Here is a 16972-nt window from a genome sequence, read left to right as displayed (position 1 = left end):
CTCTCCAGCATTTTATTATTTTATTATTTATCAATATATGATCAACTTATTTGCTATTACAAAATATTCCTCTAGAGCAGGGATCAAATCTTGCCTACTGCATGCATTTTTATAGCTTGTGAGCTAAGAATTGTTTTTACATTTTTAATGTTCGGGGGGGAAAATATGATTTTGTGATGAAAGAAAATTGTATGAAATTCTAACTTCAAGGTCCATAAATAAGTCTTACTGGAATACAGCCACATTCATTCATTTATATGTTGTGTATGGCTGCCTTCTCACTACAACAGCAAAGTTAAATCATTGCAGTTAGAGAGCACATGGACCCCAAAGCCTAATATATTTACTACCTGGCCCTTTACAGGAAATGTTTGCCAACCCCAGTTCTACAGTGTGACTTCCAAAGGCTGAACAGTGATGTGATTTTTATTTTGTGTCAGTACTGTCAAGATCTAAGCTACAAATGTTGAATATGAAGGTCGTGCTCAATTTTTACTATTATAGATAACAACTTTCAAAAGGAAATATCATGTGCACTTCTGAATTATTCATTAGTTCAATTCTTAGAAACGGAATTGTTGAGGCAAAAGATAAGCACATTTTAAGGCTCTGATACATATTACCACTTTGACATACCTTTAAGATAGATATAAAATCATTTAAAATATAATTTTATACCCACCATTTAAGAGTTATTTTCATTAGGAATGGATATGGGATTTGCTCAAAGAACATTTTGATCTTTAACTGAGATAATCATTTGATTTTTCCTTTTGCTTAATGACACAATCAGTTTTCTGAAAAAAAAAAAGTTTTTACTTTCTTATTTAATCACCTTTGAATGCAAAAAAAGGATGTATTGAAATATTTTATTTAACACAAAATTATGTGAATAACTTCTCCATAGGTTATCACTACCCACCAGGGCTCCACTTCTACATTTCTGAGATGGAGAGCTGATTCTTAGACACTTTGCCTCCAGTTTCTCCTGGCTTCCCATGAAATGTACAGCAAGGCCACATCAGGCCTCACTCACTGATATGGTTAGACTGTGTCCCCACCCAAATCTCACCTTGAATTGTAATAATCTCCACATGTCAAGGGCAGGACCAGGTGGAGATAATTGAATCATGGGGTCAGTTTACCCTATACTGTTCTCATGGTAGTGAGTACATCTCATGAGATCTGAAGGTTTCATAAATGGGAGTTCCCCTGCCCAAGCCCTCTTGCCTGCAGCCATGTAAGACATGACTTTGCTCCTCGTTCACCTTTCACCATGATTGTGAGGCTTGACCAGCCATGTGGAATTGTGAGTCCATTAAGTCTCTTTTTCTTTAAAAATTACTGACTCTTAGGTATGTCTTTATTAGCAGCATGAGAACAGACTAATACATTCACTACTTTGTTACTTTCTGTCATCCAGGGGAATCCCCTTACCATTCTGGGGCTTTACCACTTAAGTGGCTTATAAGAGTTTTTGCCAAATGCCATTGATTCAAAGTGGCAGAATTCTGGTTCCAGGCAGATTATTCCCAATATGGCCATGGCCTGCACTCTTCTCCAGCCCCACACTCTGAATGAGAGGGGACCAGGGTCACCAGCATCTCCTCTAATAATTTCCTGTGATAACTCTTTCGCTTTCTCAGGAAGGCAAGCAGCCTGGCAGCCCTTGGCACCATCGCTTAGTTTAGTGGCAGTTATAGATAAATAGCAGAATTTTATTAGACTTTTTGGCATATTGGTAGCTCCTCTACAGTATTTTGGGTCAATGCAGGTTTTTCTAAGAGTTTGTTTTTCAGATGGATTCTGGGAGGGAGGAGTTTGACACCTGTGCACAAGTCAACATCCTTTCAAAAAGTCTTCCTAAAAGGCAAATTTATGTTAGGATGTGATTACACGAGCATGAAGAGTTTTGAAAGGTAGTTCAGTGAAGTAAAGATGGAAGGAGCAAGAGCTGAGGAAAAAAGAACATTGAGACCCATCTTTTAACCAAGTATAAAATTAAACACTTAATATCTTAGCAGAAAAGGCCTGAAAGGAAGGTACCATCTCAGCACAAACTTATTAAATAAGGTCTAAAAATTACCCAGACAGTAACAGAATGTTTCCTTGGCAATAATGGTGGTCAAGAGATTGTTACCAGCCTCTTAGGCAGAAAGAATTAAAGAAGGAGTGATATCCCACTGTATTCCTTAATGTATGTAGACTAAATTATAGGGCATTCTAATTTTTTTAAAAAACATAATTTGCTTAAAAACTATATATCTGTGATAGTTAGCCACACCTATGAGAAAGCCTCTTTTTATTTTTTTTTATTTTTTTGAGACGGAGTTTTACTCTTGTTGCCCAGGCTGGAGGGCAATGGTGCGATCTTGGCTCACCACAACCATCGCCTCCCGGGTTCAAGAAATTCTCCTGCCTCAGCCTCCTGAGTAGCTGAGATTACAGACATACACCACCACGCCCAGCTAATTTTGTATTTTTAGTAGAGACGGGGTTTCTCCATGTTGGTCAGGCTGGTCTCAAACACCCAACCTCAGGTGGTCCACCCGCCTTGGCCTCCCAAAGTGCTGGGATTACAGGTATGAGCCACCGGCTGAAAGCCTCCTCTTAATGTGCTAGACCAGGTAACCTTGTCCACCTGATGATGGCTTGCCCAATAGCAAGAGTCTTCTCTATCTTTTACCAATAATCTAAGTATTTTAGTTCTCTGTTCCCTCTACCCCCACTTATTTTTCCCCCCAAAGTTTCCATCCCAATACCCTTTATTTTTTCTATGGTATTCTGTAGGATATCTACAGGTATCCTCTGTATAACCTGGGCTAAATTCAGTCTTCTTTTTACCGTCAAATAAAGTTAGACCCAACCAGGATATTTATTGGAGAGATGAACATACATCGTAATGCAAAAAAAGAAAGGAGCATAAGTGTGAGCTAAAGATCATGAAAGGTAGCCCAGAATCAAAATCTGGTGAGACTATGTTCAAATGCCAAATCCTAAGGACAACCCCCAAATCACAAATATGACTTTGAGGCCAGATTCAGAAGCCAGAAGGCAAGTGATAAGAACAAGAGGCAGTCAGAAACAGACATTCCAAGTCAACTCCTATTACCATCTTCAGAGTGAACATGGCTTACATTTATTGGATGCTGGGAGGATCAGACTATCTTAAGGTAAAGACAGAGTCAGAGTGGATACAAGTTATAACTAAAACATTTAGCAAATTCCAGAAGATAATTCTGTAAATCTGAGTCATCAATAAAGTAACTGTCTTAGTCTGTTCAGGCTGTTATCTAAAAATGCCATAAACTAGGTAGCTTATAAACAACAGAAATTTATTTCTTACAGTTCTGGAGGCTATGATGTCCAATACCAAAGCACCCACATATTAGGTGTCTGGTGAGGGTGTCTGCCATCTTAAGATGGCACCTTCTTTCTGTGTTCCCACATGGTAGAAGGGGGCAAGGCAGCTCTCTGGGATCTCTCTCAGAAGAGCGCCAATCACCTCCTAATACCATTACCTTGGGGGGTAGGGTTTCAATATACGAATTTTGGGGAAACACAAACATTCAGACTATTCCAACTATAAAATTTAAATTTCATTCAAAATGTTATAAGCAAAGATGATTTTCTATCTTGGCCCACATGAAAATTATATGTTTATCCTTGTATATTTTAAAAGGTTGAAAATACCATCTTTGAATTCACTCAGCTACAAGTTAAGTACTATGTATATTAGAATCAATTATTGAAGTGATTATCATGTAATTGTTCTGCATAATAATTTGAAGCATACAGTGCCTCAAAGACTCAGTTTCCTTCAGGGTCAAGCATAACTAGCTCACAGGCTTGCTGAGAGCCCAAGATTAAATACTGTCATCTTTAACGGAGTACTTATTTCTTAAAATGCTGCAAATGAGGTGATGATGAGGAACTGAGAGGACATAAAACAATCCAAACCAAATAAAACAACGATGTCTGCCAAAGTCAGATATTTCTCTCTGTCTCTCTCTCTCTCTCACACACACACACACACACACGATAATTACTGAATGTAACCTGGGAGTGATAAAGGTTGTTAAAAAAATTAATTGGGAGGTCATTAGCCTGAAATGGCTCCAGCACAAATACACAAATAAGTATGAGTAAAACTGGATAAGGAAGGGCAAACAATATCAATGCCAATACCCTGGTTGTAATATTATACAATAGTTTTGCAAAATTGATCAATGGGGGAAACTGAGCAACGAGTACAAGGGATCCCTCTGTATTATTTCCTACAACTGCATGTGAATCCACTCCACAATTATCTCAATACAAATTTTAAAAATAAGTAAATATTAATCATAAATAAGACTAAAGACTAACCACGTTAGTTTTTATAAATATAAGTTAAATTCCCACATTGAAATATAGGAGTATTCAAATCAATTTCTTTTAAAACTATATGTTATTTGAAAGAAATATTTAAAAGGTTATTGAAAATAATAAATGAAAAGATATGAAAATGCTTAACAAAGATTAAGGAAGTATAAAAATATTGATATCAGAAAAATATAACCTGAGGAAAAAGAATCAAATAGAAAAGTAATAATTCATGTAGACATAAATATAAAAGGAAAAGAAAACATACATGAACTAAACACAGCTCCCAAAATAAATGAAAAACTGACAGAAATACAGAAGGAAATAGAAAAACAAAAATAGTGGGATGCAATTATAACTCTCTCACACAGTGAGATCAAGTAAACAAAAGGATAACATAATTTGAATAACCAAAAAAAATCAGTATGGATAAGACAAAGGTATATGAAACTCACTACCCAATTGAGCAACCACATTCCTTGAAAACACCTAGGAAAACATGGATAAAATCTTATCCTCCATTAAGCCTTAGAGAAAAAATTCATTACTTTCCAAACAACTGAAATCATGGAGACCATATTCTATGTAAGCAGTATAATAAATTAAAAACAAAAGCCAGAAAAATTACACTCACTAGAAAAGCCTAAAACGCCAAATCTTCCATGAAAATAGAGACAAGAATAGAAAGCGTATGTACTTAGAAATCACTGATTTTGAGAGCACAGGTATCAAGACCTACAAGTGCTACATTACTAAATTGCGAGATAAGCCCAAGATGATGCTCAAAGAAACATTTACAAATGCAAAGATTAGAAAAGAAAAGGCTGAAAATAAAAGAAGTATATAGTTTAGGATGCTATTGAATTAGGAGTAAAAGATTGTTTTAAGATAGAAAAGGGGGAAATTAGAAACTTAAGTTAAAATAAAAAACAAAAGATGTAGACATCATCAATAAAACTTTGAAAAACCTAACACCAAACCTTTGACAGGCCTGAACAACAACAAAGTGAAAACTCACACACACATTTGAAACAAGAAAAGTCAAAGAAATGGCAGGTTATTTTTAATTATAAGAGATTAATAGGTATAATTTATAATAAATTTGAGGTTTTATACAAAACATGATTTTCTAGGAAAGATCAGTGAAAAACATTAAAAAGGTATCAAAGATGTAATCTTTTAAAATGATACAGGGTCTTATCAGGAGTTTTTAAGGACAAGTTTTAATAAACTTTCAAATATCTGAAAATTCCAATGTTACTAAGCTCTTCCAAAACACACAGGGGTGAAATGAAACACTTTTTAGCTCACTTTAGGAAAACAGATTATCCCAGTGCCCCTGAATCAAAATCAGAACAGGAGAGCAAAGAGGGAGGGCAAGTAGGAAAAAGAGATGGAATATTATAAGATTGAAAATGCAAAAATCCTAAGTGAAATTTTTGCAAATGGAACCCACGAGTATGCCAAAAGGGTTTATCTTAGCAATGCAACTATGATACCATATGAAATCTCTTAATGTAGCAAAATATATTTAAAGACAAAAAAGCTGTGTGATCCCTATAAGAGTTAAAAGTTTTTAATCAAATTCAGTACATAGTCTTACTACAAAAAACTAGTAAACTAGGTAGAAAAGAAAACTTTAATCAGATCAAGTGAATCTGCCAGAACCTAGAGTAAACAACAAAATTCACAGAGAAACATTATTAGTATTTTCATTAAATGTATGAATAAGATAAAGAAGCTTGCTAATACCATTATTATGTGATACCATAATGTAGGTTCCAGAAAATGTTTTTTAAAAATTAAATAGATGAAAGACAGAAAGATGTTGGATCATATTGATATAGATACTACGTTTGCTAAATTAAATTTCACCCAAAACAGTAATATGGAGAACAGATAATAAAATACTTCCTATTCACAATGCAAGATGTTTAACCTGAACTTATATTTTATTAACTACAGCAAAATAGTGCTGATGCCAGAAGAGACAAATCAGTGAACCAGTGTTAAACCAATAAATAGCCCGTTACATCTAGGCATTTTTTGATATGCTAAATATATCATTTCAAATTAGTGAAGACTAAGCAAACATAGTTATCAGATATATGCTCAAACATATATAGGCAAAAGTAATAACCTCAGTATTCTTTACCTGAATGTTCTATAATCTAGAATACCACTCACCATCAAAATTATATGACAAAATATTCAAGAAAATTTCCACAATAAAGTTTTGTGTAATTTTTTTTCTTTTTTTTTTTTTATATGGAGTTTCGCTCTTGTCACCCAGGCTGGAGTGCAATGGCATGATCTGGGCTCACTGCAACCTCTGCCTCCTGGGTTCAAGCAATTCTCCTACCTCAGCCTCCCGAGTAGCTGGAATTATAGGCATGAGCCACCACGCCTGGCCATGTTGTGTAATTTTTAAAAAGAAAATAAAATAGTATTTTGTTATTATAATTTCATAAATATAGAGAGACGTAAAAAGTCATGCACAGAAAAAAAGATGGGAAAAATGTGAAAAAAATTACAGTGGTTATTTTGAGGGAATGCAGTTACGTGTGATTTTATTATTTCTGCTGTGCTTTTCTGTGTTTTCTTTTCCTTTTTGAGATTGGTCTTTCTCTGTTACCCAGGCTGGAGTGAGTGCAGTGGCACAATCTCAGCTCATGCCACCACCTCTCAAGCTCAAGTGATCCTCCCACCTCAGCCTCCCAATGTAGCTGGGACCCCAGGCACACACCACCACACATAATTAATTTTTTTATTATTTGTAAAGATGGGATCTCGCTATGTTGCTCATGCTGGTCTTCAACTTCTGGGCTCAAGCAATCCTCCTGCCTTGGCCTCCCAGAGTGCTGGGATTACAGGCATGAGCCACTGCACCTGGTCCTTTTCTATCTTTTCTGACAATTAAATTTGTAATTAGAAAATAAATTTTGAGTTGACTCATTTTAGCTGAAATGACAACTGTGTTTTGTGAACAGGAGAGAAAAAAACACACTTATGATAGCATGAGTGAAAGAATATGTAAGATTCTCATGAAAAAATATGTGAGAATATCTTATGAAAGAATATATACAGTTATATCATTTTATTCATTCAAAACTTTGCCTCATAAAATGAACTGGCAAAGGAGTGAGTCTACAGTAAAATTGTAGGATAGATATAAGGGTCTCCACATCATCCACGTACTTGGCTTCAGTAGGATGCATTATGTATTAGCTGGTAATATGTGTTGCAGGACTCAACAAAGCAGTTAGATTTGCAGAAGCATAATTAGCTTCACAAGAAAAAAAAAAGCAAAAAAGCAATCAGAGGTGTTCTTGATCTTTAATACAAACGTGAATGTGCTATTGTTTTCCCTGGAAGATCTGTTGAAAGGCTATTATATCTGCAAGGCTACTGTGTCTCAACTCACTTGGGTGCAACTGGGCTGACAATGATTTCTGGAAGGACATCCTGCATCTGTTCCTTCCAGCTAATTTCTCTGCAGAAATAACCATGAGCTGCCAGGCATGGGACTTTGCTGGTGCCAGCAATCTGACAATCAAAAGCCAAATCTATTATGACCCAAGGTAGGCAATAGTTAAGTAGTGACAGCATGAATTTCTCTAAATTCAGAGTTTTCTGTACCCTCTAGCTGATCACTACTCAAGGAAAACTATGAACAGAAACAGCATTGGAGGGGGAAGCAAAAGCTAGTGTTGAGAGCTGAATTGTGTCTCCCCAAAATTCATCTGTTGAAGTCCACATCCTTAGTACCTCAAAATGTAACTATATTTTGAGACAAAGACCTTTAAAGAAGTGATTAAGATAAAATGAGGTCAGATGGGTGGGCCCCAATCCAGTGTGACTGGTGTCATAAAAGGAGGAGGTTAAGTCACAGACAACATACAGACCAAGGGGCAACCCTGTGAGAACACAGTGAGAAGACGACCAGCTGCAAGCCAAGGAGAGAGGCCTCAAAAGAAACCACAGCTATGGATATCTTGATTTTTGACATTTAGACTCCAGAACTGTGAGAAATAAATTTCTGTTCTCTAAGCCACCCAGCCTGTAGTATTTTGTTATGGCAGCACTAGTATACTAACACACCTAGGAACACTCAAATTTCAAAAAGCTCCTATAGTACTTCTCTCAAAAGAAAAATATATTTTAAAAATACGTATCAAGGGAAAAAAATCTTACTGTATCAACTCTAATTGTTTTTGGAAGATACCTTGGCTTCTTTACTTGAAAATAAAATAGCAAAAAATAAATTGTACACACAGATGTATATATCTGGGGATGTGTTTTATACTTATTAGAAAGAGATGTGCTCTTTCTCATAAAACATGGTGTGCTGTGATCCTTGCTAAATGCAAACCCTTGTCCCCAAAGCCATCTATGAGACCCTGTCATGCAATGATCTCTGAAACTTTTGCTTGCAAGAAAATGAGGTCACATCATCCATCATACCACCAGTGAGAAAATCTTTTCCACAGTGTCCTTGACAATGTGGATGATCTCCGAGAGCATACAGGTGCCCAAACATGGGACAGTTTTATGCACTGACAGAATTCCAGTTTTTGAAAAGTTCATCCTGATGTTTAGCTTAAACCTACATCCATTATTCCAAATTCCACCTTCAGATTTGCACTGAAAATGTTTACCCCTCCTTCATGTCCAGTGCCCCGGGTCTTCACATCTACTGCCTACCTTCCTTCAAGTACACTCTCCTTTGACTCTGTCCTACCTCTGGTAGTGTCCACAAAGTCAACACTCTATCTCCCCTAAAGTCCTCTAACAAAAAGGGAGCATGAGATCAACTTCTGGCATGACCACATGAGGAGCTCAGCTGACCTGTTCCTTAGTGAAACTATTGAAATTGTATACACACACAGAATTTGAAGCCCCTGGAAGTGGGCCTGATAGCAAGCAGCAAATGAAAACACATCTATTCAAGAAAACCTAAGGAAATTCTGTAACAAAGGCAAGTCTGTGCCTAAATTAAGAAAAAAAAAAAAAAAAGAAGAAGAAGATCCCAAATCGATAACCTAACTTTCCAATGTAAGATACTGGAAAAAGAAGAGCAAAGTAAGTTTAAGCAGGCAGATTGAAGGAAACAAAGATTAGAGCAGAAGTTAATGAAACAGAGAATTGGAAAACAACAGAGAAAATCAATGAAAACAAAAGCCAATTCCTTGAAAAGATCAACAAAAATAGCAAACTTAAGCTAGATTGGCCAAGGGAAAAAGAAAAGACTCAAATTAATAACAACAAAAACAAAAGAGGGACATTAAATGACCTAACAGAAATAAAAAAGACTATAAAGGAATACTATGAACAATGTATGCCAACAAATCAGATAAATTAGATGAGATGGACAGATATTTTAAAAGATGCAAACTACTGAAACTGACTCAAGAAGAAAGAGATTATATAAATAGACTTGTAATAAGTAAAGAGATTGAATCAGTAATCAAAAAACTACCCACAAAGAAGCACCTTCTGTTCTTCCAAACCCTGGGCCAGGCCTACACTGATGAAGAATTTGATGAACTATGTTTTCAATTTGGTCTGGAAGTTGATGACATTACTTTTGAGAAGGAAATAAGTAATGAACAAGATAATGTAAAGGCAGAAGGGACTTCTAATGTTCTTTGCAAAATTGACATCTCTGTCAATAGATATGACTTCATGTATCTGGAAGGATTGATTTGAGGACTTCAGGTCTTCAAAGAAAGGATAAAGGCTCTGGCATATAAACAGGTAATGCCTAATGGAAAAATCCAGAAATTGATTATCACAGAAAAGATAGTTAAGGTATGCCCTTTACAGTAGCAGCAGTTCTCCAAAATCTAAAGCTTACTAAAGATCAATATGACAGCTTCATTGAACATCAGGAGAAATTGCATCAGGATATTTGCTGGAAAAGAGCATTGGTTGCTACTGGAACCCATTGGACACTTTGTCACCCATTTACTTGTACTGTGCAAAGTGTCCTTTAGATATCAAGTGCAAGCCCTAAATAAGGCCAAGGAGTATACAGTCTGTGAGCCGATGAACATGTACAAGACTGACAACCACCTTAAACACTATTAACATGTCATTGGAAATAAACCCCTGTACCCAGTTATCTATGATAGCAAGGGTGTCGTCCTTTCAATGCCTTCCATCACCAATGAGGATGACTCCAAAATTAAATACTAGAAAGGTATTTATCAAATGCACAGGAAGTGACTTTACTAAGGCAAAAAGAGTTCTTGATATTATCTTGACACCATTTTCAGTGACTATATTGAGAACCAATTTACAATCGAAGCAACTGAGGTAATTTTCCTAATGGAAAAGCATATACTTTTCCAAAACTAGCTTACCAAAAGGAGATAGTGAGGCTGGGCATGGTAGCTCACACCTGTAATCCCAGCACTTTGGGAAGCTGAGGTGGGAAGATCGCTTGAGTCCAGGGGTTCAAGACCAGCCTGGGCAACATAGTGAGATCCCATCTTTATAAAAATATTTTTAATTAAAAATTGTTCAAAAAGATATAGTGAAAGCTGATTTCGTTAACAAAAAAAAAAAAAAAAAGAAATCAGAGAAACTCCAGAAAATCTTGCCTAGCTTCTGACCAGGATGTATTTGAAGTCCAAAGTCATCGGCAATGGGAATCACACTGAGAATAAAATCCCTCTGACCACAGCTGACATTATCCATGCATGTGATATTGTAGAAGATGCAGCTATTGCTTATGGATATAACAATATTCAGATGACTCTCCCATAAACACCACAGCTAATCAATTTCCTCTTAATAAGCTCAAAAAATTTATCAGACATGACATGGTAGCTGAATCCATGGTAGACATGGATTCACTGAAGCACTCATCTTTGCTCTCTGCTCCAAGAGGATATTTCTGATAAACTTGTTTTGGATTATCTCTGCAACAAAAGCAGTCCACATAAGTAAAACTAAAACAGCTCAATTACGCGCAGCATTCATTACCCTTCTTGGTGCTCTGAAGACCATAGAAACAAATCAGAAGATGCTCCTTCCTCTAAAACTATTTGAAATCTCTAACATTGTAATAAAAGATTCTAGCAGAGATGTAGGTACAAAAAACTATGGGCATCTCTTTGCTGTTTATTACGACAAGAATCCTGGGTTTAAGGTCATCCATATGCATCTGGACGGAATTACACAGCTGTGCAATGTACCTCCTGTTGAAAATAAAGGGGGATATGTGATCAAATCATCAAAAGGAACCGCTTTCTTCCCTGGGCAATGCACAGAGATCTTTGCCAGGAGTCAAAATGTCAGGAAGCTTGGAGTCCTTCATCCTGATGTTATCACCAAATTTGAGCTGACCATTCCCTGTTCCTCCCTGGAAATCAATATTGAGCCCTTTTTGTGAAGATAGGTCCTTGTTGTGTGATTCTCTTCCCAAGTATCCCTTTCTCCTCCCCTGATGTCCTTTAGTCCTACTCCACAGAAAACATTCATGTGTGCTTTCATGTTTAGTAAAGTCAAAAACAAAACAACAACAAAAAACCTATCCACAAAGAAAAGCCCAAACCCATACGGCTTCACTGGCGAATTCTGCCAAATATTTACAGAAGAATTTATACTAATTTTTCACAAACTCTTCCAAAAAGCAGCAGAGAGCACTTCCCAGATTATTTTATGAGGCCAGTATTAACCTGATACCAAAACCAGGTGGAAAAAAATGACAAGAAAACTATAGACTAATATCTCTTATAAATATAGATGTAAAATGTCCCAACAAAATACTAATAAATCAGATCCAGAAGCATATTAAAAGGATTATATTCCATTACCATGTGGAATTTATCCCAGGAATGCAAGGTTGATTCAACATCTGAAAATTAATTTAATACATTATATCAATACAATAAAAAATAAAATTATCTAATCATTCCAATAAATGAAAAAAAAGATTTGACAATATCTGATGCCCATTCATAATAAAAACTAATAAACTAGGAATAGAAGGGAATTGTCTCAACATAATGAAGGGCTTCTGAAAAACCAGTAGTTAACATCATGTTCACTGATGAAAAACTGGATGTTTTCCCCTCTAAGAGCAGGAACAAGACAAGGATGTCTGCTCTTACTACTTCTGTTCAACATTGTACTAGAGGTTCTAGTCAGGCCAATTAGGAAAGAAAAAGAAAAGACATCCAGGTATGAAAGGAAGAAGTAAAACTATCTCTGCTCTCAGATGACATTATCTGATGTTATAAATAGAAAATGCTAAGGAATCCATTAAAAAAATACTATAATAAACAAGTTTAGCAAGGTTGCAAGATATAAGATCAATATACAGAAATCAATTATACAATTGTATTTTGTACATTTGCAAATGAGCAACCTAAAAATGAAATTAAGAAAACAATTCCATTCAAAATAACATCAATAAGAATAAAATACTTCGAAATAAATTTAACAAAAGAAGTTCAAAACTCTGAAGACTACAAAACATTACTGACATTAAATAAGTGGAAAAACATCACATCTTCATGCATCAGAAGACAACATGATGCCAATACTCCCTAAATTGATACAGAGATTCAGTGTAATCACTACCAGAATCCCAACTGAATTCTTTGTGGAGATTAGTTAGCTGATTATCAAATTCATATAGAACTTAAGGAACCAAGAATAGTTAAATAGTCCTGAAAATAAAAAAAAAAAAGGATTCATACTTTCTGATTTCAAACTTTTTTCTTTTTCTTTTTTTTTTTTTTTTTGAGTCAGAATCTTGCTCTGTCGCCAGGCTGGAGTACAGTGGCGCGATCTCGGCTCACTGCAACCTCTGCCTCCCAGGTTCAAGCGATTCTCCTGCCTCAGCCTCCCGAGTAGCTGCGACTGCAGGTATGCACCACCATGCCCAGTTAATTTTTGTGGGTTTTGTTTTGTTTTGTTTTTTAGATGGAGTTTTGCTCTTGTTGCACAGGCTGGAGTGCAATGGTGTGATCTTGGCTCACTGCAATCTCCGCCTCCCCGGTTCAAGTGATTCTCCTGCCTCAGCCTCCCGAGTAGCTGGGATTACAGGCATGCACCATCACACCTGACTAATTTTGTATTTTTAGTAGAGATGGGGTTTCTCCATGTTGGTCAGGCTGGTCTCAAACTCCCAACCTCAGGTGATCCGCCCACCTCAGCCTCCCAAAGTGCTGGGATTACAGGCGTGAGCCACTGCGCCTGGCCAATTTTTGTGTTTTTAGTAGAGACGGGGTTTACCATCTTGGCCAGGATGGTCTCGATCTCTTGACCTTGTCATCCACCCACCTCAGCCTCCCAAAGTGCTGGGATTACAGGCAAAACTTTCTACAAAAGAATGGTAATCAAGATATTGTGGTACTGGCATAAAGATAGACATGAATCAAAGGAATAGAACTGTCAGTCCAGAAATAAAACCATACATCTATAGTCAACTGATTTCAACAAGAGTGCTAAAACCATTCAAAGAGGAAAGAATAGACTTTTCAACACATAGTGCTGGGACAAATGGATATTCACATACACAAAAATTAACCTGGGCTCTTCCTTCACACCATATACAGTATTAACTCAAAATGGATCAAACATTTAAATGTAAGAGTTCAAACTATAAAACTCTTAGGGGAAAACACAGGAGTAAATTGTATGTCTTCATGACCTTGGGCTTGGCAATGGATTTTTACATATGGCATCCAAAGCATGAGCAACAAAAGGAAGTAAAGTAGCTTTCCACAAAATTTTAAACCATGTGCTTCAAAGGACACCACACGAAAACCCACAGAATGGGAGAAAATATTTGCAAATCACATGTCTAAGAGACTTATCTCTGGAATACATTCTTTAAACTCTCACATCTCAAAAGCAAACAGTCTAGCTAAATAATGGGCAAAGGATCTGACTAGACTTTTTTTTTCAGAGAAGATATACAAATAACCAATAAGCACATGAAAAGATGCTCACATCAGTCCTCAAGGAAGTAAAAGTTAAAACCACCATGAGATACGACTTCATAACTCCTAGGATGGCTCAATCAAAATGTTATATGATAACAAGTGCTTGCAAGAATGTTGAGAAATGGGAACACTTACACACTGCTAGTGGGGATGTAAAATGGTGAAGACACTTTGGAAAACAATCTAGCAGCTCCTCAAACATAAAGTTGTTATATGACCCAGTAATTTCACTCCAAAGTATTTAGCCAAGAGAAATGAGAACATATGTGCACACAAAACTGTGTACAGAAATATGAAAAGCAGTATTATTCACAATAGCCAAAAGGTAGAACCAACCCAAATGTCCACCAACTAATAAAGATATACCATACACTAGAATATTATTCAGCCATAAAAAGGAAGGAAACACTGACACATGTTACATCTTAGATGAACCTTGTAAACATTATGCTAAGTGAAAGAATCCCCTCACTAAAGTCCACATATTATACAATTTCATTCCTATGAAAATCTAGTACAGGGAAATCTACAAACACATAAAGTAGATTAGTTCTAGCTTAGTGTTGGGGTAGATGGGGAATACAAGGGTGATAACTAAAGGGTAGAGAGTTTCTTTTTGACATGATGAAAGTATTCTAAAGTGTTCTGTGAGGCTGGGCACAGTGGTTCATGCCTGTAATCCCAGTGCCTTGGGAGGCCAAGGAAGGAGGATTGCTTGATGACAGGAGTTTGAGACAAGCCTGGCAACATGGCAAGACCCCATCTCTATGAAAAATTTAAACATTACTCAGTCATAGTGGTGCGTGCCTGTGGTCCCAGCTACTTGGTTGGGGTTGGGGTGATGGGCTGAGGTGGGAGGATTGCTTGAGCCTGGGAGGTTGAGGCTGCGGTGAGCCATGATCGTATCACTGCACTCCAGCCTGGGTGACAAAGCAGAACCTTGTCTCTAAAAATATATATATATATTTTTAAAAAAAGGGCACTGTGGTGATAGTTGTACATATATGTGAATATAGTAAAAAAAAATAAATTGTACACTTTTAGTGTGTAAATCATATGGTATTTAAATATTTTAATAGACTATTTTTTTGAAAAAATGAAACATCCTGATATCAAAAGAAACTGTTCTTAGTTTTAAACCTTCCAAAATTTTTCTATATGGGATATTCAACAACACATTGAACAGTAATCTCAATTTAACCCCAAAATAAGGCTTCCCCAAGCATTTGACTGGACATGTAGAGCTTAATTATGAATTCCTACTAGATGTACAATGCTCCATCCCTGCCATGGTCTATTCAAAAACTGCTAGCTGTGGGACCAGGTCTGCGGTACTTTGTGGCACCTCCAATTAACAGACAGGAGATCCAGCCCCTGTCTTTATCTCCACCACTCAGTCACGCATTCCTGGGCTTCAGTTTCCTCATCCGTGCATCTGGCATGCTAGCCCTCGCCCTAACAAGTTCCACAGTTGGTTGTGAGGATCAAATGAGATAACGAAAGGCACTTTGAAAAGATGAAAGCATTATAATAACAAGACATTATTCCTTAGCACTCCCTGCAAGACGCTTTAGCAACTACCGCGCTGGGGAGAGATTAAGTACACATAAGGTAAAAAGGAAACTTTACCTAGTGTTTTCAACCAAATTCAAAAAGTGTTTTACGTTAATTAAGGTTTCAAGTTGATAAACTAGTACGTCATTTGAATATTTCCATCAGTCCTATAAAGTAAGAAATGATGTCACAGCCTTTTTCAGAGGACTGAATATTTTCCAAGTAACATATCTCATGGATACAGGGCAGAAAAGTAGTAAGAATTATCAAATTCCATCTTTCTTTTTTAATATAATAATACCCAAAAAGCCTTTAAAATCAAAAAATAATCTTTGTCACACTTTGAACATACTTAGCATTCCTTTTAAAGCATTTTCCCTGCTGGCAATGGATTTTGGGTTGCAGTGCCTTAAGCAGAAAAAGCAAGTCCAAAGAGAAAAGAAAAAAACAAAAAAAACAAGGAAACAAGCATGAAGCATCAGTTGTAAGCAAGCACTTTACAAAGGGAATGAAAAAGGAGGTCTGGCAGTCTCGCCTTCAGGGTTCCTCCCTAGAAGGATCTGGCCATTTATGCTGCTACATTAATTCATGACAGGAGAGGGAGCCAAGTTCTCCAACTATGGTTCTCAGTATTAAAAATATTTCTATTGTCCAAGTAATTTTACATATATTATCCCTTTTGATCACCACAATAAAAGAGAAGCAATGTTTTTCCTATTCATGAATTGCAGAACAAGGAATAGCATCCAGCACTCCAATTCTTTACCTCTCTGTAATGTCCTATGCCCTGCACAGAGAGCTGAGGGCTCCCACCCCTGCACTGAGACTTGGCCAACAATGCTGGCTTGGCTTCTGCTTGCCTAAGCCAATCCCTAGGTCGACCCAGCACTGCTTTGAGTTCCTATCTGAAGACTTGCTCAAGGCTGTCAAAAGAATTTACCTTTTGATCTAGCCAACACCTGATGATAGGCCACTGATACTCCCACTTTACTGGAGCATTTACTAAAAAAAAATAGCTTACAATTGTAAATCCTCCCTCTGTCCCTTTGAGATACAGATGGTCCGCGACCTACGATGGTTCAATCTGTGAT

At 36.7% G+C, this 16972-nt stretch overlaps 1 pseudogene; it reads left to right on the top strand.

Annotated features, from left to right (window-relative positions):
• Positions 9852–11885, top strand: FARSBP1 (FARSB pseudogene 1; annotated as a pseudogene).

The sequence above is a fragment of the Homo sapiens genome, chromosome 10 (genome assembly GCF_000001405.40).
Source record: "Homo sapiens chromosome 10, GRCh38.p14 Primary Assembly".
Lineage (NCBI taxonomy): Eukaryota > Metazoa > Chordata > Mammalia > Primates > Hominidae > Homo > Homo sapiens.
The sequence above is the reverse complement of the archived record's forward strand: the minus strand, read 5'-3'. Positions and strand labels throughout refer to the sequence as shown.